At 51.9% G+C, this 25,933-nt stretch overlaps 1 protein-coding gene across 9 annotated transcripts in view, besides 13 other annotated features; it reads right to left on the bottom strand.

Annotated features, from left to right (window-relative positions):
• The window catches only part of CD276 (CD276 molecule), a 30,571-nt gene extending 7,579 nt beyond the window's left edge, over positions 1–22,992 (bottom strand). Inside the window, exons 1-6 of one of the 9 annotated variants that reach the window (XM_017022638.2) lie at positions 22,873–22,992; positions 7,218–7,350; positions 4,343–4,681; positions 3,850–4,164; positions 2,939–3,277; positions 2,464–2,760 (exon numbers count right to left, since the gene is read on the bottom strand). In XM_017022638.2, the coding sequence (XP_016878127.1) occupies positions 2,464–2,760; positions 2,939–3,277; positions 3,850–4,164; positions 4,343–4,681; positions 7,218–7,296 (1,369 nt within the window). In that variant the 5' untranslated portion in view covers positions 7,297–7,350; positions 22,873–22,992. Of the gene's footprint in view, positions 1–2,463; positions 2,761–2,938; positions 3,278–3,849; positions 4,165–4,342; positions 4,682–7,217; positions 7,351–8,887; positions 20,718–22,036; positions 22,722–22,872 lie in introns of those variants that run through there. The other 8 variants (XM_011522095.3, XM_005254700.5, NM_001024736.2 and 5 more) reach the window with 8 other exon arrangements.
• Positions 4,209–4,930: an enhancer, noted in NCBI's record as "H3K27ac-H3K4me1 hESC enhancer chr15:73994347-73995068 (GRCh37/hg19 assembly coordinates)". NCBI's record gives its function as "activates a minimal SCP1, AML or CMV promoter by ChIP-STARR-seq in primed H9 embryonic stem cells {active_cell/tissue: H9 hESC(primed)}" and the evidence as "EXISTENCE:reporter gene assay evidence [ECO:0000049][PMID:30033119]".
• Positions 6,482–6,531: a silencer, noted in NCBI's record as "silent region_6639". NCBI's record gives its function as "represses an Ori minimal core promoter by ATAC-STARR-seq in GM12878 lymphoblastoid cells {active_cell/tissue: GM12878}" and the evidence as "EXISTENCE:reporter gene assay evidence [ECO:0000049][PMID:35858748]".
• Positions 9,308–9,818: an enhancer, noted in NCBI's record as "H3K27ac-H3K4me1 hESC enhancer chr15:73989459-73989969 (GRCh37/hg19 assembly coordinates)". NCBI's record gives its function as "activates a minimal SCP1, AML or CMV promoter by ChIP-STARR-seq in naive H9 embryonic stem cells {active_cell/tissue: H9 hESC(naive)}" and the evidence as "EXISTENCE:reporter gene assay evidence [ECO:0000049][PMID:30033119]".
• Positions 9,308–10,331: a biological region, named in NCBI's record as "H3K27ac-H3K4me1 hESC enhancers GRCh37_chr15:73988946-73989458 and GRCh37_chr15:73989459-73989969".
• Positions 9,594–9,888: an enhancer, noted in NCBI's record as "tiled region #8861; HepG2 Activating non-DNase unmatched - State 10:DNaseD, and K562 Activating non-DNase unmatched - State 10:DNaseD". NCBI's record gives its function as "activates a minimal TATA promoter and a strong SV40 promoter by Sharpr-MPRA in HepG2 and K562 cells {active_cell/tissue: HepG2 | K562}" and the evidence as "EXISTENCE:reporter gene assay evidence [ECO:0000049][PMID:27701403]".
• Positions 9,819–10,331: an enhancer, noted in NCBI's record as "H3K27ac-H3K4me1 hESC enhancer chr15:73988946-73989458 (GRCh37/hg19 assembly coordinates)". NCBI's record gives its function as "activates a minimal SCP1, AML or CMV promoter by ChIP-STARR-seq in naive H9 embryonic stem cells {active_cell/tissue: H9 hESC(naive)}" and the evidence as "EXISTENCE:reporter gene assay evidence [ECO:0000049][PMID:30033119]".
• Positions 10,332–10,843: an enhancer, noted in NCBI's record as "H3K27ac-H3K4me1 hESC enhancer chr15:73988434-73988945 (GRCh37/hg19 assembly coordinates)". NCBI's record gives its function as "activates a minimal SCP1, AML or CMV promoter by ChIP-STARR-seq in naive H9 embryonic stem cells {active_cell/tissue: H9 hESC(naive)}" and the evidence as "EXISTENCE:reporter gene assay evidence [ECO:0000049][PMID:30033119]".
• Positions 21,632–22,138: an enhancer, noted in NCBI's record as "H3K27ac hESC enhancer chr15:73977139-73977645 (GRCh37/hg19 assembly coordinates)". NCBI's record gives its function as "activates a minimal SCP1, AML or CMV promoter by ChIP-STARR-seq in naive H9 embryonic stem cells {active_cell/tissue: H9 hESC(naive)}" and the evidence as "EXISTENCE:reporter gene assay evidence [ECO:0000049][PMID:30033119]".
• Positions 22,123–22,172: a silencer, noted in NCBI's record as "silent region_6638". NCBI's record gives its function as "represses an Ori minimal core promoter by ATAC-STARR-seq in GM12878 lymphoblastoid cells {active_cell/tissue: GM12878}" and the evidence as "EXISTENCE:reporter gene assay evidence [ECO:0000049][PMID:35858748]".
• Positions 22,333–22,462: a silencer, noted in NCBI's record as "silent region_6637". NCBI's record gives its function as "represses an Ori minimal core promoter by ATAC-STARR-seq in GM12878 lymphoblastoid cells {active_cell/tissue: GM12878}" and the evidence as "EXISTENCE:reporter gene assay evidence [ECO:0000049][PMID:35858748]".
• Positions 22,473–22,602: a silencer, noted in NCBI's record as "silent region_6636". NCBI's record gives its function as "represses an Ori minimal core promoter by ATAC-STARR-seq in GM12878 lymphoblastoid cells {active_cell/tissue: GM12878}" and the evidence as "EXISTENCE:reporter gene assay evidence [ECO:0000049][PMID:35858748]".
• Positions 22,723–22,772: a silencer, noted in NCBI's record as "silent region_6635". NCBI's record gives its function as "represses an Ori minimal core promoter by ATAC-STARR-seq in GM12878 lymphoblastoid cells {active_cell/tissue: GM12878}" and the evidence as "EXISTENCE:reporter gene assay evidence [ECO:0000049][PMID:35858748]".
• Positions 23,156–23,664: an enhancer, noted in NCBI's record as "H3K4me1 hESC enhancer chr15:73975613-73976121 (GRCh37/hg19 assembly coordinates)". NCBI's record gives its function as "activates a minimal SCP1, AML or CMV promoter by ChIP-STARR-seq in primed H9 embryonic stem cells {active_cell/tissue: H9 hESC(primed)}" and the evidence as "EXISTENCE:reporter gene assay evidence [ECO:0000049][PMID:30033119]".

Genomic DNA, 25,933 nt, shown 5'->3' with positions numbered 1-25,933 from the left:
GGGCTCTGACAGCAGAGGAGGGGGCAGAGCCATGGAAATACTCAAGCAGAGGGTCTCTATGTTCCCCCTTAACTGGTGGTGTCCCTGGAACACAAATTACATTTGCCCTGTTCACCCAAGAAAGGACAGGCTCAGGCCACGTCTCTAGGGCTTGCTCCATAAATCCCCCTCCAAGAGGCTCTGCACAGCACACAACTTCACTAACTTCATCAGGTACGGGAGAGACCAGCTGGAGGACTGAAAGTCTGAATCCCAGAATGTTTGACATGATACAAAGCTGCCCGAAGCAAAATACAGGCCAAGGGCTCCAAAGTAGGCCAGACCTGCTCTAACAGAAACAGGAGGCTGGCTGGTGGGAAGGAGAGGAAATTAGGCTGAGAGGCCAAAGTTGGATTCTGATCATGGCTCATCTCCTCACTGCAGGGCACTGGAGCCCAGGTCTACAGACCCACGGAGGAGTTTAGAGAGGCAGCGAACCCTCCAGAGTTATGTGCAAACTGCTGCATTGATCATTTATCCAATTTTCAAAGAAGGGTCTGACCCCCAAAGATTGAGAGCCGCTGTGCCAGTCTGTGACCTTGGGAAAGTTCCCCCTTCTCTGTGGACCTCAGTTTCTTCGTCTGTGAAATGTGCTTGGCAACAATGGCCTCAATGAAATCACTTTATTTTTATTTTATTTATTTTTTGAGACAGTGTCTTGCTCTGTCACCCAGGCTGGAGTGCAGTGACACTGTCTCGGCTCACTGCAACCTCCGCCTCCCAGGTTCAAGCAATTCTCTTGCCCCAGCCTCCCAAGTAGCTGGGACCACAGGTGCATGCCACCACGCCCAGCTAATTTTTGTGTTTTCAGTAGAGACAGGGTTTCACCATGCTGATCAGGCTGGTCTCGAACTCCTGACCTCAAGTGATCCACCCGCCTTGGCCTCCCAAAGTGCTGGGATTACAGGTGTGAGCCACCATGCCCAGCCCTAAATTTTTTTGAAATCACTTTAAATGTTAGCTACTCAAGTTTAAAATAGAGAATTTTCTCTTAGGTGAGATAAACATTCTCTTTGCAATCACATTTATACTCATAAGTCCTTTCTGCACAGCATCGCAAATATCCAGCTCAGCCCAGGGTGCAAATGACCACAAAGACCCCTTATCCTTCAAGGCCTTCTCAGCTCCCATTTGCCCCTGGAGGTGTCCTCACTACCACCCTCCCTCCTCTGAAAGCTTCATATCCTCTGCCAAGATCACTCTATCTTCTATTTCTTCTTTTCGCCTGTGAACAGCATTTTCACCACCAAACCATATGCTGTTCTCTAAAAGGTCAAGGACATGTCTCAGAACATTCAAGAGCTCAGGGCAGCTACTCTCTCCTGGAGAGCACAGGAAGGGAGTGTTTTCCATCTTGGGGAAGGGGTGGGCAGAAGGAGCACAACCTTGCCAGAAGGAAACACGTAAGAGAGAAGGAGGAGTGAGCCTGAACTCCAAGCAGACGATGTGACGGGCCCTGGCTCCGAGCTTGTCAGAAGTGGGGACCACATAGGTCTCAAGAGGGAGAGGACAGGAATAAGTGAGTCCTGAGGTGCATGCAGACCTGGAAACTTGGGGTGAGATCAGAACTTGGATGGGCTGAGGGGCAGATGGAAGTCATCAGAAGACAAGAGGAGAACCAGACAGACAAAACCTGCTGTCCTGACCTCACTGTGCACCAGGGCGAGGTCCCTGGGAAAGCTCAGTTGGCCAGGGAGAGATACTGAAGAGCCAGACTGAGCACGTCGGCCCAGGAAGTGACTGACCAGAGGCCTCTCAGGGCCAAACACAGATGGAGACTGCGGCTCTTGACCTCAACCCTCTTCACACCCTCAGGCACAAGAGGTGCCCACGAGGCTAGAACCTGGAAACCAGAGACTAACAATCACTAAAGGGGTGGCCTCTATCTGGTGTTTGACCACACGGGGGCAGCAGAGACAGCCCCTGCCCATCCAACGGCTGCCTGGGTGGAGCGCAAGTCTGCAGGAAGAAGAGCTGACGTTGACTCAGGTGTTGGGGACTAACTAGGGAGGGCCAGCTGTCACTCAGGCTTCAGAATCAGATGGCGCCCACTGACCCAGAATACCTTCCTACCACTCAGAGGAGTTCCTGCTGGAAAGCACACCCACACCAAGTCCCCTGGGCCACACCTTGTGGCTGCCCCAGAATTCCTGCCCATGCCTCCAAATTTCGGGCAGGTACCTTGTCCTCTGCATAAGAAGCATAAGTGCCACGAAAAGCACTCTTAGGAAGGCAAACATTATAAATGGTTCTTATCAGCTCGAGTCCCTTAAGGACTTGTGGGGAAGAGTGTGAGCACCTGAAGTCTATGAAAGGGATTTTGAAAGTCTTCTGGCCACCCAAACCTATGGAAATTCCACGTTAGGGTCCAGTAAAGAGGGAGTTACTCGCTCCGTCCTTCCCCAGCTGTTCATCTGCCCTTACCTGTGATGGTGACAGAGCCGTGCGCATCCTGCTGCAGCACGGGGTTGCGCACCAGGCAGCTGTAGGTGCCATTCGCACCCAGCACCACCCGCAGGACGCTGTGCACATCAAACAAGCCCTGCTCGTTGGCCATCTGCGACGTGGTCACGTTGCCAGTCAGGGGCACACCCTGCCCATCCTGCCAGAACACCTCAGCCTCAGGGTAGCCCCGGTAGCTGGAGCACGTGATGGTCACCGTGTCCCCTGGCCGCAGGTCCTTGTTGGGCTCCAGGGTCATGCTGGGCTTCGAGTAGGGAGCTGGAGGTGACAGAGGGCAGGGGTCAAGGGCAGGGCAATGGCAGGGGAGGAAAAGGATGCATGGGGCTGAGTACAGGAATCAGCACTGGGGTTCTGGGAGCAGTGGTGCAGCAGAGGGTGGGCTGCAGAGGGAATGGAGGGTGAACCAAGGGGAAGGCGTCGCCCTCCTGGTGCTCACCGGCCACCTGCAGGCTGACGGCAGCGCTGCCGAAATCCCGGATGCTCACGAAGCAGGTGAAGCTGCCCTCGTCCGCCACACGCACGCGCTGCAGCCTCAGGGATGCATTGCCTTGTGCCAGCAGGTCCGGGAAGAGGGCCGTGCGGTTGGCATAGGCGCTGCCCTGGTCCCGGCCTTCGGTGAAACTGTGCACCAGCTGTTTGGTGTCTGTCAGCTGCCAGATGAGGTTGAGCTGTGCCAGGCTGAAGCCAGGCTCGGGGGAGAAGGAGCAGCGCAGGGTGGCATCGGTGCCCACTAGGGCCACCACCGGGTCCTCAGGGACCTGGACCTCCACGGCTCCTGGGGGCGGGGTCAGAGGGGCAGGGTGGTGAGGAGAAATGGGACTCTCTAGGCTACCACCCGAGTCCCCCAAACTCTTCCCCCATCAATTCCCAGACCCTGTTCCATCTTCCTATTTTCTTCTTAGATGCAAAAGCAGATTAAGTCTGAGGACTCTCAGATATGGAGTCTCCCCAATCTTCTGAGAACAATCACAGCAGGTGGGTCTTGGCCTGACCAGACCAATCCCAGGGCCAGGCCTGGGGCAGGTGACTCTCACCAGCTCCAGCCCTGGTGAATCCTGCCATCAGGACTCCTTTCCTTCGCCCACCCCTCTGCTGACCCAGATGTGGCTCCATTCTTCCCAGAGGCTTCCAGAGCCTTGAAGTCAGGAGAGCCTTAAGAAGGCCTGTGATTTCTCCGCCCCCAACCCCTCCAGTGAACATCCCCACCTCCCCGTTATCTTTCTCCCTATCATTAGGAGGCAACTTGCTGTTCTGGGAGATTGAAGGTGGGGCCAGATTCGGAGCTCCCAACCCCTGCCGACAGAAGCAGAACCCCCCTCCCCCAAGGGGACATTTAAGCAAAGCAACCTGTGGGGCTTCTCTGGGGTGTGATGGTGACAGAGCTGTGCGCATCCTGCTGCAGCACGGGGTTGCGCACCAGGCAGCTGTAGGTGCCATTTGCACCCAGCACCACCCGCAGGATGCTGTGCACATCAAACAAGCCCTGCTCGTTGGCCATCTGCGACGTGGTCACGTTGCCAGTCAGGGGCACACCCTGCCCATCCTGCCAGAACACCTCAGCCTCAGGGTAGCCCTGGTAGCTGGAGCACGTGATGGTCACCGTGTCCCCTGGCCGCAGGTCCTTGTTGGGCTCCAGGGTCATGCTGGGCTTCGAGTAGGGAGCTGGAGGTGACAGAGGGCAGGGGTCAAGGGCAGGGCAATGGCAGAGGACGAAAAGGATGCATGGGGCTGAGTACAGGAATCAGCACTGGGGTTCTGGGAGCAGTGGTGCAGCAGGGGGTGGGCTGCAGGGGGAATGGAGGGTGAACTAAGGGGAAGGCGTCCCCCTCCTGGTGCTCACCGGCCACCTGCAGGCTGACGGCAGCGCTGCCGAAATCCCGGATGCTCACGAAGCAGGTGAAGCTGCCCTCGTCCGCCACACGCACGCGCTGCAGCCTCAGGGATGCGTTGCCCTGTGCCAGCAGGTCCGGGAAGAGGGCCGTGCGGTTGGCATAGGCGCTGCCCTGGTCCTGGCCCTCAGCAAAGCTGTGCACCAGCTGTTTGGTATCTGTCAGCTGCCAGATGAGGTTGAGCTGTGCCAGGCTGAAGCCAGGCTCAGGGGAGAAGGAGCAGCACAGGGTGGCATCGGTGCCCACCAGTGCCACCACTGGGTCTTCAGGGACCTGGACCTCCAGGGCTCCTGGGGGTAGGGGGAGTGGAGAACATATAAGGGGGACTGAGGAGGGGTGGGCCTCCCTAGTCCCGCTCCCTGCCCCTGCTAACCCCAGGCCCTGTCCACCCCTCCTTTTAGGCCTGAGACCCAAAGTAATTTATTGTCTTAGGACCTCATTCAGTCAAGAATATAGTCAGCACCTACAGGTGCCAAGCATAAAAGTCAGAAATGCAACAGAGAGCAATACTACGGTCACATCCCCACAGAACTTACATTTTAATGGGAGAGAGAGACAAATGGGCACACAGATTCTCGTCAGCATGTGACTAAGGTATGTGAGGAAAAGGAGCCAGCAGGTTAGTAAGTAAAGCAACAGCTTTTCAAAAATCTGGCAGGTACTTTACACCTGCCTGCACCATGTGCATTTCCCCATGAGCGTAAGTAATGTTATAAATTGGGGAGTCCAAAAAAGTATCCACCAAAAATGTCAATAGTGGTTTCTCTGGAGGAGAGAGAATCACAAGTGCTTTTTCTTTTTTTCTTTTTTTTTCTTTTCCTAACGAAACACGATTTGTTTTTATACAAGAAAGAATACCCGTACCTTTAAATATGGTGGTGAGGCACATGCTCTTTAAAGCAATTAAGCTGAAATTTATAGGGAATGAAAAAGAGCTGACATACAGAGAACCCCGTAGAGGAAACAGCAGGTGGAAGGCCCTGAGGCAAGACTGGCCTTGCTGTGTGAAAATATCGGGGAGCGTCCAGTGTGGCAGACACATCTGATGGGAGGGCATGTCCCACCCAGACCAAAGATGACTTGAAGAGACCAGTGAGGAATCTAACTTTTTCTATGAGTAATGGGAATCACTGGGGAGTGTTTTAATCACGCATAATCTGAGTAGCAATGCTTAAAACTCACTCTAGCTCCTCTGTGGAGACTGGACTGTGGCAGGGCAAGGGGGAGGCCAGTTAGGGGCGGTTTCAGCTGTCCCTGTAAGAGGTGAGGGTGGTGTGGCTTCAAAGGGTGGTAGTAGAGAAGAAGAGAGGGATCAGATTCAAGGTTTATTTAGGAGGGAATCAACAGGACTTGCTGATGAGTCAGAAGTGAGGGGAAAAGGCCCGGCATGGGAGGCCGAGGCAGGTGGATCACCTGAGGTCAGGCGTTCGAGACCAGCCTAGCAGATATGGTGAAACCCCACCTCTACTAAAAAATAGCCAGGGGTGGTGGAACACACCTGTAATCCCAGCTACTCAGGAGGCTGAGGCAGGAGAATTGCTTGAACCTGGGAGGTGGAGGTTGCAGTGAGCCGAGATCGCGCCACTGCACTCCATCCTTGGCAACAGAGCAAGACCCCATCTCAAAAAAAAAAAAAGAGGAGGAGGAGGAGGGGAGGAGGGGAAGCGAACCCCCCCACCCTGGCACTACCATTCTCCGGTAATGGTTAGATTGTGTGCTTCGAGCACTAGCAAAGCAGGCACACTCAAAATGTGGGAAGATCAACCTTGAAACAATGCTAATTGAATACAGCACTCATTAAAGGTTTCCTGCATTTAGAAAAATAACATTGACTTTATGGTTATTATTTTTATTGTGAATCATACTCAGTATCATAATCTTTGCAGTACCTAGAGATCTCTAAAGTTCTTAAGCTAGCCTTGGATCTCTTGCTGAAACCCCTGGTGCCCCAGGCCAGTTCTCATGCCCTGTCAGTCGAACCAGGGTGCCCCTTGGAGGGGACATTTGGGGGAATGAAACCTGGTAAGTCACCCAGACAAAACCCTTTCTTGCTCTAGAGAAATCAGAGCAGCCGTGGGTAGAGACAGGCACTTCTTTATGGCCACAAGATGGCGCCAGACCCTCAGCTTTGTCTTCCCCACGGAGGAAGCCGTCTCAGAGCAGAGATGCTGATGAGAATTTGAAATGTGATGAGGATATTGTTATTAAAGTAGCTATTATTATTGAGTGCTTCCTGTGTGCCAAGCACCGTGTGGGGAGAGTCACATCGTTTATTCTACACAGTTATTGGGCACCTACTATGCAACAGCCGCTCTGGCCCTGAGATGGACCCTGCTCTTTGAACAGGGAGGAAGCAAGCAAACGCCAGGTGGGGGCGAATCTAGGCAGAATAACGCAGGGAGGCCAGGGATAGGGAGGGAGGAGCGGAGGTGTGCTATTTTATACAAGGGAGCTAGGAGAGCCTTGAGAGGAGGTGACATTGAGCAAAGACCTCCACAAAATATGGGATCCAGTCATGCAGACGTTTAGGGGCAGAAAGTTCCAGGCAGAGGAAAGAGCAAGTGGAAAGGTCCTGGGAGGGGGCGCACACAGTGTATTCAAGAAATAGCACGATCTCATTTAGCACTCATGTTCCCATTTTACAGACAAGGAAATGGAGGCTAAGAACAGTAACGTGAGTTGCCTACTGGATCCCACAGGTGGAAGTAAGGTATGGCCCTGCTAGCCAGAGCTGGCTTGGCAGGACCCCTAACAGGCGTGGGCACCCCCTCCCCAACTGCCACAATCACTGTCCCTCCCCTCCCGTCCCCATGCTGCTACCCTCACCTGTGAGGCAGAACCACAGTGCTCCCAGGGCTGCACCCACATGCACACCCATGCCAGGGCTGCCCCGCCGACGCAGCATCTTCCTGTGAGGCGGCTGACAGCTGGGCTCCCCGTGGTGGAAGGCTGCCCCTGCCTGGGAGAAAGAGGACGCAAGGCCTTTGTCTCCAAAGGTTCTCCCCAGACCATCTCTTGCCTCATCTCTCCTGGACCAGAGTGGGGAAGGCTGCAACTGCCCACTGGGAGGTCCTCATTCCCATATCCCACCGGGCCCCCTGCTGAGGAATCTTGGTGACAGATGCTTGGCAGGGAGTCCCTGGGGAGGCCTGACAGGGAAGATGGGGTAGGGGGCAGCTGGGATCCACCCTTTCAGCTAAGATGTTAGTATCCAAATATAAGGAAGAGGAGGCAAGGCGGCAAGTGAAGGCAAGGTTGGCTTGCTCTGGGGCTAGGATGTGTGCAGATCAATTTGGCAGACAGTAGCTGGTAGGGCAGAGCAGGAGCTCCTGTGGGGGCCAGACTTAGAGATGGGCTGACAGGTGTGAAATGTATCCTAAAGGCAGTTGAGAGCCACTGAAGCTTCCTGAATAAGGGAAATACACGGTCAGAGCTGAGCTTCATGAAGATTAATCTGACAGCACCTCCACCCGCTATCTGATGGGAGGGTATGTTTCAGCCAGATCAAGCAGGGCTTTGAGAGACCAGTGAGGAATTTGGGTTTTTCTATGAGTAATGGGAATCACTGGGGAGCATTTTAATCACACATAATCTAGGTAACAATGTTTAAAACCCACTCTAGCTCCTCAGCATAGACTGGATTGTATCAGGGCAAGGGAGAGGCCAGTTAAGAGGCTATTTCAGGCTGAGTGCAGTGGCTCATGCCTGTAATCCCAGCACTTTGGGAGGCTGAGGCAGGCGAATCACTTGAAGTCAGGAGTTTGTGACCGGTTTGAACAACATGGTGAAACCCCATCTCTACTAAAAATACAAATAATTAGCTGGGCATGGTGGTGGGCACCTGTAATCCCAGCTACTTGGGAGGGTGAGGCAGGAGAATTGCTAGAACCCAGGAGGCAGAGGTTGCAGTAAGCCAAGATTGCACCACTGCACTCCAGACTGGGTGACAGAGCCAGACTCGATCTCAAAAAATAAAAATAAAAAAAGAGGCTAATATAGCCATCCCTGTAGGAAGGTATAGTGGTGGAATAAATGAAGGGCCAGACAGGAGACAAAGCATGTCTGGGTAAAAGTGACAGTATCTGAGGACTTGGGTAGAGAGAAAGAGCAGTCAGGTTGGCCGTGGTTTTGAGCCTCAGTGACAGGGTGGAGCATTCACTGAGGCAGAGAAAATGGAAGGGTTCAGTATAGCTTGTGTGAAATCAGCAGTATTTGCAAAGAAGCTTCTAGGACAGAGTTTTAGGAGGCGACTAGGTGTATGAGTGTGGGAATGCAGAGAGAGAACATTTGCTAGCTTAACACATCTGTATTGAGTGACCAAGACAGATCAGAAGTGGAAGAGGCAAGGACTTGGGGATGACCTCAAGGCTGGAGTCAGGACTGAGTAAGAGGCAAGTCTGTGGCTGCAGGTCAGGCCTGAGCTGGGGATGAGAAGGGCAGACATCCCTAAATCCAGCCCTGCTCCCAATCCCAGCCACCCTCCAGGCTGCACACACCTTGTCCCTGAGTCCCACAGCTGCTGCCTAAACATTTGTGCCATGTCCTGATCAAGCCACATCTATGCCAACCAACACTGATCAACAAGAATAGAAATGATTTCACGTCCTCCTAATACCCTGGGAGATAGGCTGTAACACTTGGTCCTATTTTTGCAGGACTTTAAAAAATTAAAGCCCATGGCTGGGTGTGGTGGCTCATGCCTGTAATCCCAGCACTTTGGGAGGCCGAGGTGGGTGGATCACGAGGTCAGGAGTTTGAGACCAGCCTGACCAACATGGTGAAACCCTGTGTCTACTAAAAATATAAACATTAGCTGGGCGTGGTGGCTCAGGCCTGTAATACCAGCTACTCAGGAGGCTGAGGCAGGAGAATTGCTTGAACCCAGGAGGCGGAGGTTGTAGTGAGTGGAAATCGCGCCACTGTACTCCAGTCTGGGCGATACTGCAAGACTCTGTCTCAAAAAAAAAAAAAAAAAAATTAAAGCCCAGATAAGTGACTTTGTTAATGTCAAGTAATTTGCCAGTCAGCACAGCCAAAAAGAGTCCAATTCTGCTACACCTTTCCACCCTTCCACGGAGCAAACCTCATCAACAGCTGCTAGCCTCAATTCCATTCCAGGCGCCCAGCCTCAATCCTTCCAATCCCAGCCAGGCACACCCGCCCCCCGCCACCCTCCACTCCTACACACACACACCCCCAGCAGCTGGGCCAAGGGAGTCCCTCAGCCAAACCATGTGCATCCTGGCCAGCCCCCCTTCTCTCCCAGCTGTCTACAGTGGGGAAGCCCTGAGCAGCCACTTCCTTTCCAGACGCTTCCGGCCTCAAAGCCTTACTGCCTGCTGAGTCAGCAGCCTTCCCCGGCTCCATTCATAAAGCACCTTTGGCAGGCACCACATCCTGCCCCACAAGGGCCACCCTGAGGCCCACAGGAAGATCCAGCAGGCAGCTGCCTGCAGGACCTGCCCAACCCCTGCGGGAAGCACCAGGGCTAAGGATGAACGAACGCCCAGATTCCACATCTCCCTGCCTCTCTTTAACCCCAGACAGAACCAAGGCCTGTGGGTTCTTCCTGGGCCGCCTCCCTCACTCTCCACACTGCTTCTCAAGCTTCCATCTCCCACCCTGACCCATCACCCCCCTCACTGGCCCTGCTTGCTCCTCTCTTTCCCTGCCAGCCCCATTCTCTAAGGTGCCTTCTCTTAGGACCTAAGACAGGAATCTGCTCATGTCCCTCCCCTGCTCAAGAACTTCCCATGGCTCCCCATTCACTATAGAAGTCAGACCCCATTCCTCTGCCTGGTACTCAAGACTCTTCATATAATTGTCTCCTTCATATATCAGGCTAATTCCTGCCACTCTGGGCAGGTACAGGGAGCAGAGGGCACCTCCCCTGATCAGACCTACCCAGGCTCTCCCAGGGCCGAGCTGCGCTTCCCTCCAGAGGGAAGATGAGGGACTTCCAGGGCTGCGCCCTGGACTTGCTCCCTTTCATTCCTTTCCTAGACTCTGGATCCTGGAAACCTGCCCTGGAGAGAAGCAGTTTGACAGCCCAGAAGCAAAGAGACCAGAAGAGTCCACGGCACCCAGAGACCCCTACGCTGACAGCTGGGCCTGGAGGAGCTGAGGACAGGAGAAAGAGACAGAGCTCAGAAAGGAAGTGCTCCCTGGAGAATGGGAGAGTGTCCTGTGAACACAGAGCTGGTCGGCCCGGGACCCAGAGCCACGTGGAGCCACGCAGGCCTCATGCTGCCTGCGTACCACCCCCTCCACCCATGTTTTCCACAAAGGGGAATCTCATCCCCAGCCGGGACCTGCCCTGGAGTCAGCATGTGCCACCCGTCCCGGTGAGTCACCTGCCAGTGCCCACTCCTCGTCCTTCTCCTTCCTGCTCTATCCCAAAACCACAGAGCACCTTCGGCTTTCACAGAGCAGCAGGAGAGAGGGGTCAGGCTGTCCTCAGCCTAAGGTACAGCAAGGGCATCCAACCCTGCAGAAGCAGGGCCACAGGGAGGCTCCCAAGAGATGACCCAAGATGTGCCCTCAGAAAGCTACAACAAATCCAGACTGCACCTGGGCTCAGGGCCAAAATGCCCTGGGCCTGGGGATGCCCAAGAGGGTCTCCTTGCCCCCCACCATAATCACCCACATCACTCCACTTCCTCCTAACCCCCTACTTCCTCCCAATCCCCGCAGGGGCTCCTTGGGCAACACTTCCCACAAAGGGACAAAAAGGGTCAGAAAGACACAAAGTTCTGAAAATGTCAGACAAGTCCCTGGATCCAGCTATGCCTGAAGCAAGCTGCAGACCTAGACCGCCCAGATATTTGAGCCAATCATTTTTTTTCCCTTAAACCAGTTTGAACTAAGTTTCTATTGTCTGCAACCGAAGGAGTCCTTGAATCCACATGCATTCATGTCTTTAGTAATTCATTTCACTACTTACGGAGTTCCTGGTAGGGACGTACTAGGGGCAGAGAGATAACTAAGGTACACGTCTGTCCTCAAGGAGCAGATTCTAATAGGGAAGGGGGACATGCAGTTAGATCACTGCAGTTTGGTATAGTATACTATTTATGATATGGTCAGGGCGAATTGGAGGCACCTCAGAGGCATGATAACCCCAGAGATGATCCCTGAAAAGTCATGAGCAGCTCCCCAGGTAGCCGCGCTGGGAAAGGTAACCCTTTCCTGAACTCCAGAGACCCGTCCTCCTGACACTGCCTGTCTGCCCCTCAGCCAGATCACCCTGGAATTCTAGAAAATGAGCCCAAAGTGTGGGGTTCTGGTCCCAGCTCTGACACTTTGTTATGCAATCTTAACTAGGCAACTTCTCTGAGCTCAGTGTTCCTACCTATAAAAGAAAAGCTTTGTGGATGCTAGTGGAACTTTATCAGTACTTGAAGCTTTCAGGGACTATATCCTTAAGGCTTAACCAGTTCACAGCCACACAGTTCCCACTGAAATGCACAAAGTGACTGTGGCAGAAACTGCTAGTTGTTGTCCACTTACACCCATTTTCTCCCTTTTTAAGAGACAGGGTCCCGCTCTGTCACCCAGGCTGGAGTGGTACCATCATAGTTCAGTGGTGCAATCAGAACCCACTGCACCCTTGTAACTCCTGGGCTCAAGTGATCCTCCTGCCTCAGCCTCCCGAGTAACAGGGACTACAGGTGCTGCCAGCACACCCAGCTCTCCCCTTCTTCCATAGCATTTTTAGTTAGGCACACGGCCACTCAGCTAACGACTGCAGATCCCAGCCTTACTTGCAGCTGAGTGTGGCCATGCAATGTGTACACTGATGTGTACAGCTTCTGGGTCATGCCCTGAAAGAGAGAAGCATGCCCTCCCCTCCCTTTCCCCTCCCCCTTCCCACTGGCTGGAACATAGATGTGGTGTGTGTGGCGATCATACTGCCAAAGGCAACACCCTGAGGACGGCAGAGCAGCAGACAGAAGAACCCTGAGGGACTGTAGTATCAGCCCTGGATATACCCAGATGGTCACATGGGTGAGAAATAAACATCTCTTCCAGCATAAGTCATTGCTATTTTGGGCCTTTCTTACAGCATCTGAACTAACTAAGGAGCCATCCCACCCTTACTTTCCCTCCTTCTCTTCCCCGTCTCCGTACCCGATGAGCATTGCCACTGCTCAGAGCCACAAAAGGAAACCACATCTAAAATAGGTATCTCAAAATACGAACAGGAGACTATCTCATCAGAGTCACCGAGTGATGCCTGAGCCCAGCTTTGGACAAATGTCAAGGGTAGAAGTGACCAGGCTTGGGGACTGTTTGTATTGAGGGAGGGGCTGAAGGTGTCAAGAGGGCACTGAAGGCTTGAGCAATGGGCAAACATGGACACACATAACAAGGAGACCTGGAGATGAAGCACGTGGAGGGGGAAGATCAGTTCCTACTGAGCTCGACTATGGATCATCCACACCAAAATGTCCTATGGACTCCCAGACACACTGAGCTGCAGCTCAGAACAGAGGGACATGGCAGTCATTCGTGCAGTGGTGGTGACAGAACCAAAGGTGGGGTCACTGAGGGAGATGATGCCATGAGAACAAATTCTGGGGAAACTGCAGAAATTAATGATCAAGTATCAGAACAGGGAACCTTTCCCTGCCCCTCCCCCCACCCACCGCATACACACAATCTCTGTTTGCCCTCCCGTGATGGGCACCCATGGCCTGCATGGGCTATCCACTTGCTTTTGGACAGCGTTCATCGGTGAGAAGCTCTACCTTATACTTAGCCCAAATTTGTCTCCCAATACAGCCCACAACAGTCCTCATGTGACCCCTTGGACCACACAGAATGAGTCTGCCCCCTTCCTTATCAAAGCCCTGCAAGTATTTGATCTTCCTTGACGAAGTCACCATTGAGCAGCCATGTCACACCATTCACCAAAATAACCCAAAATAACAGACTATCAAATCTGTAGCCAACCATCAGAAGTCACTCACACTCATTGCTGCTAATCCACACCTCTGCCATCCTCTTCTGATGGAGTTCAGAATGGGGAGGAGTTTTACAGGATATTTCATTTGTTACTATTCCATTTCACCCAGTTAAACTGAGTCCATTCCTCCAACTGCCACAACATTTTTTTCATTGTTGTAAAATATATATAACATGAAGTTGGCCATTTTATCCAGGTTTAAGTGTATAAGTCGGCAGCATTAACTATATTTACAATGCTGTGTAACCCTGTCGTGATCTTTTGAAGTACTCTTTTGACTGTTCTGGTGCATAGACAATGCTCAATAATTTGTTGGTGGATTAAAAAAAGAATGAATGAATATCATCTGAAAAGGTTACTCTCCTCTCTCTGCTGGTGTCTGGGTGTCATCAAGGTCCTCAGGGAGAGGACAGGAATAGGAAAGCCCACAGCACCATCTGTCCCTGGATGATCAATGTCCATCCACCATTCAGTACACCGGGGTTAGGAGTGTTCCTACCTGTGCTGCTACCCAGCTCCCATCTACCCATCTCATCCCCAGGGCTGTCATGAGAAGCTTCACTGCTTCTGGCTGGGGACCAATCAACTGGAGAAGAACAAGAAAAGAAGTGCATTTTCAAAACCCCAGTGAAGCCATGCAAGTGCCTACTAGTGGGCTCTTCTTCAAGTGCTCATTGGTTCCAGGACTTTGTCAAGGATTAAGAACAAGATTATCGATCTGTTGTTCCCATAATCTACCATCTTCCCCATAAAACTGGTTATTTCCCTGTCTCAAGTCTTCTGGCATTTGTTCATTTATTCATTCAACAAATGCTTATTCATGATCCACATGCCAGGCATTGGCCATGCATGCAATATGAATGGAGATGAAGAATCGTACATATAAATATTCAACTACAGGGGTTCTCATTCTCAAGTTGGGAGGTATGTTTATTATTATGCTTCAAAAGTTACCCATGTTATATATATTATTTTGCTTTTATCAAATAATAATAACATAGGCCAGTTTTGTTGAAAGCCATGCACCAGGCTCTGTTCTAAATGCTTTTACACATATTAACTCATTTAAGCTTCCCAACAATTCTGTGAAGTAGGTACTATTATTATCCTATTTCACCGAGGAGTAAATTCAGGGATGGAGAGATTTAATAACTTGCTCAAGATTACAGAGCTGCTAAATGGCATATTTAAAATCCCACATTTTCATATTAAAAATAGAAAAAAGGTTTAGGAAACAAATATATCATTAAAATAGAATATGACCAGTTTTTTGGTACACATTTATACAAGGTATTGTGGGAATGGACGAGGCAGTAGGCTTAAACCTGGATGAAAGGGTCAAGCCATTCACTGGGGGCTGGGGAGGCTCAGTAAGGACTGCACAGAGGAGGAGACATCTCGGCTATCTGGCGGAGGGGACAGCATGAAAAGTCACAGAAGAGGAGATGTCCACAGCATATTCTGGGAAGATGGGACTCCAGGAGAGGCTGAGACTCAGGAGAGGAGGCAAGGGAGGTAGTGAGGGACGTAGATGGGGACTCGGATTGAATCTGTGCACAGCAGGAAACTGTGGAATACTGTGACCCACGTGTCCAACCCTCTTCTACCCTAGACTGGCCTGAAATATCCCTGACAGCTTCTCAGAGATTCTGTCTCCAAGTTCACCCCACACCAGGACAGGCAATCCCAGGGGCCAGAAGACAAATACAGTTAAAACAGATGAGCACCTCCCCGTATGGCCTAAACTTCAATTCCTTCTTAACATCTTCTGCTCCTTCTTTCCTTGACAAAGAGGCAAATTCAATGCCGAGCAGATCGTCTCCGTCTTTGGTAGCTAGTCTTAACACAGTTATTTTGCTCCATGTCCTTTATTCTACAGTGCCCTTCTCTTGGTCTATGCTGGCCCCTTCTGGTAGCAAGGCTCCGCACTCCTGCAGGGAGCCCAGTCCATGCTGTACTGGTGGAGCTGTCCTCCCAGCCTAGGGCCTGGGCATGTTACAAGACCTGGCTCATGGAGAAACCTGCCCTGCCCCCACTCAGTGATTAGTTCGAGAATGAGCTGTAAGCCAAGCCACACCCAATCAGAGACTTCCCCAGAGCCTTGCTGCTGCAGCCATCAAAAAAGACTCTTTCTTGTTGAGATTACTAAGAAGGATACGGTCTGGGACTGTTAGCAATAAATGTGTCTGCTACCAACAATCTAAAGAATTGATCCAAACAAATGAACAGAGGCAGAGATGGAAGCTAGAAGGATATAGAGCCCTAAAACCATCATTTAAGCCCCTATTCCTGAAGCAAGCTGCACACATAGACTGCCTAGGTACTTAAACAAGTCTTTTTTTTTTTTCTTAAATGTGCTTGAGCTAGTTTTCTATTATCTGTAACTGAAGGACTCCTCAAATATGTCTGCTATATCTTCACTATCTCCATTTCTCTCTACCCCTGCTTCTCTTCCTGGTCTTCCAAGTCACCATCATCTCTTGCCTGGATAACTATAAAAGCCTCTTCACCAGTCTGTTCACCTTCTCTAGTTCCCCCACCCAATTCTGTTCTCCAATCTATACTCTATACAACAGCCAGAATAATTGCTATTAATATAAAAGCATAAATTATATCACTGCCTTCAATAGTTAATCATAGGGCTGTTCACTTTCCTTGTGATAAGATCGCAGCTCCTCCATAGCCTACAGAGCCCCATCTGCCCTGGCCCTGCCCACCTGCCCAGCCTCACCTCTTCCTACTTGCCCCTCACCACAGTGGGCTGCTTCCAGTTCCTACAACATAGGACTCCCTTTCCTACCTCACAGTGTTGCTGCAAATACAGTTTCTTCTTCCTAGATGACATGGGTGCTTTAAGACTCATGTTGAAATTTAATTGCCACTGTAACAGTATTAAGAGGTGGGGCCTGTAAGAAGTGAAGAGATTAATGCTGTTATCACAGGAAAAGTGGGCTCCTGATAAAAGCGTAAGTGCTGCCCCCATACTGTCTGTACTGCACGCTCACATGCCCTTCCACAATAGGATAATGCAGCAAGAAGGCCCTCGCCAGATGCCAGCACCATGCCCTTGGACTTCCCAGTCTCCAGAACTACAAGCCAAATAACCTTTTTTTCTTTATATATTACCCAGGCTGTGGTATTCTGTTATAGCAGTAAAACATGGACTAAGATAAAAGGTAACACCTCCATATTCTGAGGGTCACCTTGACAGAAAAGCCAGGTAAGAGATCTGCCACTCTAAGAAGGACCCTGTCATTCATTGCACCCAGTCTGTTTTCTTCATGATATATGAGAACCTCCCTGAGAAGGAACCACATCTGCTTTATTTAACTATTGCATCCTTAATTCTAGCAATGGCTTGGCACATAATGGGTTCTCAATGCACGATTCAATGAGTGAACGAATGAATGCATGTGTGTTTAGATAGAGAGATGGATAGATATATGGATGGATGGATGTTTGTATATGGGGAAAGGATCTGGATGCCTGAGAGTGAATGCAACTCTGGAGTGTCAGAATAAGGGTGAGAGTTTGCTACTGTTTTCTACTTGATACACTTCTCTGTTTTTAACTATGAACATGTAAATTCTTTTGCAATTAACGAAAAAAGGAAAACAGCAACAACAGAGATATCCTGGACTTTAGACCAGGCTCTGTCACTCACTTGCCAGGCTCCCTAGGCCAAACCCCTTGCCTTTCTGGGTCTTCATCTCCTCAACCATCAAAGGGTCCTGACCACCATCCCATGCTGTGACCATATCGCATGTTGGGCTGGTGTAATCACAAGAAGCTTCATGGAAGAAGTTAGCACTAGTGTTTAAGAAGATGACTTTGGAGTTGGAGAGACAGGTTCAAATCCAGACTCTGTCACTTCCTAGTAATGAAACTTTATGAAAATATCCTCTCTGAGCCTCAGTTTGCTCATTTGTAAAATGGGGATTATAAACCTTACCCTCATAGGATGATTATAGGACTCAATGAGCAAAATTATCAAAACTGACCTAGTTAATACTAGGTGCTCTATAAATGGGCAGCAGCCTCAGAAAAGAGATGGGAGGGTCCCTAGAGTTCCCTGGGAACAGCCTCCCTGTTTGCCTTCCTTTTTCCTGATAATCTGAGTCAGTTTGGGCCTTTTATGTTCAAGGCTGTCCACTGGGCACCACTCCCCAGTCCCGTGATCCCACCCAAGAGCAGGAATCAGTTCTTCCTCTCCAAGCGATTTCTGTGTGAGTCAGGACAGTAGTATGTCATCAGGGCTGGCCAGCAAAGCAGGGCTAAGGTCTCCCTGGAACTAGAGGCATGTGCAGGGGCTGCAAAACTGACCTATACATGCATGTGGAAATGTGTACACACACACACACACACACACACACACACACACACACACAGGAGGCACAGAGCCCTGAAAAAAGTGAAAGCTACATTGGGCCCAGAGGAGGTCCAGCCAAAAGAAGGGATGGCAACAAGGAGAATAGGGAGAGGAAGGAAAGGGATGAGAGCACATGAGACCACATCAGAGCGCAGATTTCGGGTCAGACACTGGCAGGCCCAGGGCACACACATCTGCATTCACTCAATATCTGCTGAGTCCTGCTAGGTGCCCACCTAAACATATCTGGAAATCCTATCCTTTCCAGAAGCCTTTCCAGACTGCACTCAAGGAAGGGTGCATTTTCTCCAGATGTGATCTGCCTAAATGCCTCCTTGCCTCCAAATTCCTTTGGTTTCTACCCTGAAAGAGGCTCAGCTTAGCAGAACAACTCTGCCGACCCCTCTCCATCTAAGCACCAGACCCCTCTCGGAGTGTAGCAATCTCCACCAGTCCTCAGAGCTAGAAGGCCTCTTACGGTACACCTGGTCCAGCGCCTAGCTCCAGGCCCATTGTACAGATGGAAATCTGGACCCAGAGTGGTGGCCGGCTGGCCAAGGGCCCACACTCAATTATCAGCCACCAGCAGAAGTGACTAAGAGCCAGCTGATGCTCCTATCTCTCTTCCTCACTTATTGAATGGAATCACCAGGCTGCCTTGCCTGCCCAGGGTACAGCATGAGCTCAGAAGCCAGCAGCCTTGGGTTTCAATCCTGACACCGATGCCTTGCTGAACACATGACCAAGTTTAAATGACTTAACCTATTTGAGACCCAATTCCAAATCTCTAAAATGGGGGTAACAATCCCTACCCCACAGGGCTGCTGTGAGAATAAAATAAGACAATAGAGAGAGAGGACTTAGGAAAGTGCCCAGTACCAAAACTGCAGTAATAATTATTATTATTGCTGTTATTATTGCCGCAAGCATGGGGACAAGGCCTCCTAGATGGGGCCTCTGCACTGAGCGAACACTTTGCCCCTACCCCACTCTCCCTGGCCAAGACCTCCTCTGTCAGGCCACACATCTGGGCCTCTGGGACCATTACTCCTTCTGTATCCCTACTTTTCACCTAGAGCCCTATCAGTGCCCCAGCTCCAAAGTAGCAAATGCACAACTCGACTCCATCTCTGGCTCTGACTCATTCTAGTGGTCCTGGGCCCCTTCCTCTTCGCAGATGCTTGGTCACAGTTCCAAGTACCATGAGCTCCTACCGTCCTGCTGCCATAGCCCCTAGCACAGAGCATTCCCACAGGGACACATTCCAATGTCTCCCACAAGGCAGCCCCAGTTCCTAGGAGCCTGCATTGCCTCTAGGGTAACTTGGGACCCCTGCCTCCCAGAGACAGTATCTCTCCCTGCTCCAAGGCTCCCAGCAAGAAATGCTTCTCACTCCACTTCCCGCAGATTAAGCTCCCTATGCCTAGAGAAGGTCAGATTCCCAATGGCATAAGGTGTGTGGAGCAGGCATTCATTCTCTGGACCACAAAGAGAAAGAAAGGGAGAAAGGGGGCAGCTGGCTGGGAGCACTGGTCAGAACTGGAGGGTGGAGGGGGAACTCCTGGAAGCCCCAGCATGATAAAGTCCAGGGCTCTGGAAGAGAAGAACTCTCAGCAAAGGCCCTGACTATGCTGTGAAGGCCACTAGTCACTGGGTCACCCAGGTCAGGCCTGCCCCTTCTCTGGTTCCCCAGATGAGTCTTCCCTGACTTACTAAGGAGACCCTTGGCACATCTTACCGGGCTCCAGAAAGAGGGGTAAAACCTGTGCCTACCTCCAGAGCAGCAGAAAAAGCCAGTTCTGGAAGCAGACAACAGCCCAGCTCCACCATTTGCCGGCTGTGTGTCTTTGGGCATGTGACTTACCCTTTCTGGGCCTCAGTTTCCCCAACTGTACAATGGTGTTAATGATACCCTACCTCATAGGATTACTATGAGGATTACATGAGATAATGTCTATTTAGCCTCCAGCACAACCCTACCCACTCCCAAACCTGAAAACCCAATGCTCCTATCTGGCACACTGCAAGGGCGGTAGAACTGGGGGTGGCAGGCAAGGGTTGCATAACTGTACACGTGGCCCCCTTCCAGGTGTGGGGTCCATTCTGAGCCAACAAGACCAAAGGCAATTTCTCAAAAATCATGTGGACCAGTCCTCACCCCTCTCCCCCTCCCCTAGGCCCTGGGTGTGCCCTCCCCCTTTTGCTGGTGGACTTCCCTAACACTCCTGCCCTGGGGATGTGGGAAAAGGACAATGAGAAGTCGCCACCCACTCAGAGGATAAGCTCATGGGCAGTAACGTCATCCTCCTTGCCATTTTTCCTCTTTCCCTGACCCTATGACTCAGATCCACAGCTTAACAGCCCCCATGTGGTCATAATCTCAGAGGCTGCTTGGATTTGGTCATTTTTCTGCACAGACCCCAAACCCCGTATGTGCAACCAAGTACCATCCAGCCACTTGTTCTACAACATTTTCTAGGAGTCTCTTTAGGTGCTGTGGAATTCCAACTCACAGCTCTCTTATCACACTGCATCTCTGACTCCAAACAGCATTGTCCAGCTCCTTGTCAAACTCAAATCCTACTCCAAAGAACAAAGATTTACCCCTCCAGAGAAAGCCAAAGTTTAATGATGGAATTCTCACAGGAAGTTTCAGAAGTCAACCTAATAAGGACACAGACACCCCAGAGGACTACTTTGAAGGGACCACACTTCTATAACTGTCCTTTCCATAAATATTAAAGCACCGAAGCCAGCTGTCAGGTATATGAACATGAGACATTCAGCCAACCCTCCATCGGGTGGTGCCTGGACAGAGCTGAAGAGGGGACAGGAAGGAAAACAGGGTCCTCAGATTCCAACACCCCTTCTCACCTGAGACTTGCATTAACACAGGCTCCTTACCTCTGACAAGCTCATGTCTCACAGCACAGGAGTCTAGAGTAAGCTGGAAAGCTTACTGCAGGCAGGAGAAACCACCAGTAATGCCATAAGGACATGGAAGAACTCCAAAGGTCAGTCATGGGACCCTGACTGCATCACTGAGGCCACTTAATGCAGGAACGAAGCTCTCTCCCGCCAGCGTCCCCTTGCCATACAACCCCTCAGAACAAAAACTGAGGTCCACAGGGCTGACCCAAAGTCATGAAGGAAAATTTCATTCACATCAGGATACTCCAGTAAGCTGACGGTGACGTATGTAAATTTCCACGGTCAACAGTTACCCTAAGTGTTAGTGCTTAATCTCAAGAACTCCAGATATCAGGAAAATGTACTCACCCAAAATACTCCCTTGAAATGAGCCACTTCATACCCTACAGCCCCATAGCCCTCCATCCTGCCCTGCACTCAGATCAGCTCAACCCATCGGACAGGTTTAGACTTCAAGTTTAGACTTCAGTTCCCCTCAGCCTCAAACTGTCCCACCTATTTGCAGTCCCCCACACTACAAGGAAGGCTGCACAGCATCAGATTTCCTAGGGACTTCTGGGAGGCCAGAGGGAACTAGAGGAGGCCGCACTAAATAAAGAACTCTCTTAAAGACAAAGCAGCTTCATTACTTTCTAATATAGAAACTAACTGCTGAAGACATGCTTATAAGAAAAGGACCCCGGGCTTTAATGAAGAGATCAGACTCATTTACAATTATCCACATCCAATTTGAAGGTAAATCGTTTTTCTAAATTAAGACAACTAACACCCCCCCACCCGCCACACACACACACACACACACACACACACACACACACACACAAATCTTTTTTGCTTTACTATTTGCTTAATGTTTTCCCTCAGTGATAGATCCCATATCTGAGTCATCTATCACGCTTTTCTCATTAGAGCAGGTTTGGCTTAGAAATAAATCCCCTGCCTTAGGCTGCCAAACCTGCCAATTCGCTAGCTAAACGGTCGCAGGGAGGGCCCTGGGCGCTGGAATTCAATCCCCTCCCTTCTAGTGTGCCCCCACTCGGGGTCCCCACCTCCCTCCACCGTCGCCCGCATCTCCTCTCCATCCCACCTCACCCCCCACCTCCCTGAGGCTTCCCAAGCCCAAACTGCCCATCCCAATTCCCTCCCCACCCCCAACACCTATTCACCCCGTGGCCCCTGCCAGCCGTCTCTACCTGTCCTTCCCGGAATCTGACCCCTCATGCTGCCCACGGCTGCCTGTGGAAGTGCACCAGTCGCCCACACCTTCGCCCTGCTGGGCCCTGCAGAGTGGACACGCCTAACCACTCGCCTTCCCTCCCCGCCGCTCCCCTCCCGGAGCTGGGCGTTTTCCTCTGCAGGACCCGAGACCCCGCTAACCTCCCAGCGCCGGCCGGTGGCTTCGTTAAGCTTCAACACGGGACAGATCTGCCCCCATGCCCGCTCCAGACCCGGGGCCTGCAAAAGCGCATTCACCCACCCGGCCCGGTCCGCAGCTTCCGGGGTCTGCAGGTCCGACGGCGCCCGGGCCCCTCTCAACCCGAGGAAAGGGGGGCGGGGTAGGATCCGGGAGCCCCCAGCTCTCCGCGGGCCCCACAGCCCAGGGCAGGAGGGGCGCCCGCGGTTCCCGGGACTCCTGTGCGAGGGGGGCCGCCCGGACCTGGGGGAGGGCAGGGGAGCAGGAGCCCGGAGGGAAGGCGCCCTGCTCAGCTCCTGCAGCCCTGAGCGGGAACGTGCGGACCTCCGCGGGATCCAGGCCCGGCCCGCAGCAGACAAAGGCCGCCCCACCCCGCGCCGCCCGCGCCACGCCAGCACTCACCGCGCCGCGCCGACTCTGGGACTCAGGGACGCGGCCCAGCCTGGCTCAGTCGCCGCCGCAGCGAGGCCCGGCCCGAATGGGGGCCGGGGGCGGCCCGGGGAGTCCGAGGGGCGGGGCGGGCCGCGCCGGAGAATCCGCCTGAGGCCCGGAAAGGCGGCTCCGGTGCGTCCCTGAGGCCGGATTGGCCCCGCGGTGGCGGCTGCTGACCGAGGCCTGAGCCAGCCCGCTGGGCAGAGCACACGGCCTGGCCCCCGCCCCCGCCCCGCCCCGCCCCCAGGCCTGACCCTGGCGGGGAAAACCCTCGGCTCCCGGAGCAGGGCGCTGCCCATCCCCCACCCCGTTCCCACACTTCCAAGAGCCGAATCTTCCTTTCTGCGAGAGGGGATAGGTGACTGACTGGTCATCGACTGGCGGCAGAACAGGGCTGGAATCCTGCTGTCCAACCCCAGTCTTGGGTTCTTCCTCCACACCATGCTGGCACCACAGCCCAGAAAGGGTTAACTCGACTGCGAGGAATTAAGAGCTGCAAGGAGCTCTCTATAAATACAGTGTCGTGGGCGCCTGAGCCAACCGCAGGACAATTTCCACTGAGCTGGTTTTCCTCTTTTCCTTCCACCCACGGCCATCCGACCAGCCCTGCCCCCAGCCCCACCCCAGACTGCTGGCCGGACTTGGCTCCAACAGGCCTGACACCTAGTGGCCTTGGGCTCTGTCCTTACAGGGCCCCGCTCCAGCCTGGGAGGAGATGGGGGTCGGGCCTGTCCAGATTTTGCTGTGGTGCAGCCCATCCCTGCACCTGTTCTTGGATCTGTTCTTCCTCACAGGGACAGTGACAGCTAAAACGTAGGGAGACTTTTGTGGGCCAGAGTTAGGTTAGGAGCTTTCCATGCTGGGCCTCTTTAGTTCCTCCAAACAGCCCCGCCGGCTAGATATTATTATTCCCATTTCACAGATGAGAAAACCAAGGCTCAAAGGGATGAAGGGACTCCAACCTTGTACTGCTGCCAGGCTCACCACCAGTGCCAGTGGCAGTACTGGGCAGGGCTTGGGAAATGAGTATGAAAACATGTGCGTCTCTCTGCATGTGTTGCCACTGTTGTAAGCTCTTTACCATTTTATCTCATTTAATCTTCACAACAACTCATTGAGGTGAATACCATTATTCTCATTTTTACAGATCGGAAATAAGGAAATTAAGATACAAAGAGATTAAGTAACTTGGGGACACATAGCTATGAAGGGAGGAACCGGGATTTGCCCTCTGAATTTAAGTGTGCGTGTGGTGTATGGGTAGGGGTGGTGGTGCATGGGTGTGTATATTTGTGGGGGGTTTTTGTCTTTTTTTTTTTTTTGAGACAGAGTCTGGCTCTGGAGTGCAGTGGCTCAATCTCGGCTCACTGCAACCTCCGCCTCCTGAGTTCAAGCGATTCTCCTGCCTCAGCCTCCAGAGTAGCTGGGATTACAGGTGCGCACCACTATTTTGGCCAGGATGGTCTCGATCTCTTGACCTTGTGATCCACCCGCCTTGGCCTCCAAAAGGGCTGGGATTACAAACGTGAGCCACCGCGCCCGGCCGGGTGTGTATATTTGTGAACACATTCAAGCAACTCTGTATTTGAGTCTACGTGCATATGTGTCTTTGAATCACACAGCAGCTGTGTCTGTGTAATTGCTGACTGCTCCTAGGGATGACAGCAGAGAGGCCCAGCTGTCTTGTCCCTGACCACCTCCAGGAACTCTGGACCATTCCACGCTGCTCCCCACTGCCCTGCCAGGCCCTGACCAGCCTCGTCCAGCCTGGGTCTGGCCTTACAGGTCTCAGGATGAGTAGCCTCCAGTTGGCCCAGCAACCTGGGGAAGTAGCATCACATGGAGAGGTGTCCTTGGGCTGAGGGAGCTAGGAGCCCTGCTGCAGGACCCTGGAGGTGGCATTGAACAGATCTAGAGAAACTTACTTTCCTTCCCTTCACAAAGAGTCAGTCCTGTGCCTTGTGCCTTGCGGTGGTGACGCTGGTCCTGTCCTAAGGGATTTATAATCTGGCATGACTCAGCCATGGTGGACAGTGAAGGAACATCACAGAGCAGTTTATAGTGTGTCTATGGGGGGAGATTTTAAAATAATCATTCAAGAGCAGAGGTCAGGAGGGAAGGAAATGTGTATTGGCTCTCATTCCTGGAAGCAGCAGATTGAGAGGGCTCTGATCCCCTAGGAGGGGGAAACAGCTTGGGCAGGGCACAGATAGCACATGTGTAGGACCAGCTCATCTGAGACTCAGACACTTGGATCTGGACACAGATAGCTAGAATGACCATCCCATCATGCAGGGGTCTCCTTGGTTCAGAGAATGTTTGCCTGATTGTCCCTGGGAACTCAGGAATGGAGGTGCTACACAGAGATTCCCGTCAGAACCAGAAAAACTCAGGATGGAAGGTTGTCTTCATGCATTCTTTCTGGACAGCAGCCCTACCCCTCTCACCTCTATCCCTCCCACCCCCCACCTCCCCACAACCTGCTTCCTAGGTCAGCACAGTAGTAGATGACTCAGAATGTGCTATCTCCAGTTTTGCTTCAAGTTCCCCAAGGAGGTCACAAACCAATCCCAAAAGACCCAGATTGGGACAAGCCTTATCCCACTTTTTATCTACCTACCATCCTGCAGGTTCCTCAAATTCAACATGTGCAAAATTGAATTATCACATGTCCCCAAAACCTGTTTCCCCTTCTAGATATACAGGAAGGACTATGCTCAAAACCTGGACTCATCCCTCGTTCCCTCCCACTTCCCCCCACTTCCCACTGCCAATATCCAGGCAGGCTTGAAGGGGTGCCCTAGAATATGTTAGGAATCCCTCCCTTTCCTGAATACCCTACTGCCACACCATCCTCATCTGAACCCCCATCACTCCTCACTGGATTGTTGTTGAAGCCTCTTAACTAATTCTGCTGACTGTGACTCCTCAGTCCATAGCTGCCAGAGAGAGCCTTCTAAAGCGCAAATCCTCCCACAATGTCTCTTGCTTACCTGAAGCCCTTCAGTGTTCTCATTTGCCCTTAGGCTGCTAGTTGTCCACTAAAATTAATTCTCTACTTCTTCCTTACCAACAGAGTGTAGCATTTGTTCTAAGAAGTTCTATGCCTAGTTGAAAATACGTGGGTTCTCAGACCCCCTTGCAGCTAGAGGCAGTCACGTGACCCAGTGTGGCAAATGAGATGGAAATGAAACTCACTGATTGAGGCTTTGGGGAAAGCTTGTTAAAGGAGCAGCCTTGAGCTATGGAAACCAGTCTGGTAGTTCCTCAAAAAATTAAAAATAGGCCAGGCAAGGTGGCTCACACCTCTAATCCCAACACTCTGGGAGGCCAAGGCGGGAGGATCACCTGAAGTCAGGAGTTCAAGACCAGCCTGGCCAATATGGTGAAACCCCATCTTTACTAAAAAAATAATAATAATACAAAAA

This window comes from Homo sapiens, chromosome 15 (assembly GCF_000001405.40).
Source record: "Homo sapiens chromosome 15, GRCh38.p14 Primary Assembly".
Taxonomy (NCBI): Eukaryota; Metazoa; Chordata; class Mammalia; order Primates; family Hominidae; genus Homo; species Homo sapiens.
Note: the sequence above shows the minus strand (reverse complement) of the source record. Positions and strands in the feature narration are given on the sequence as shown.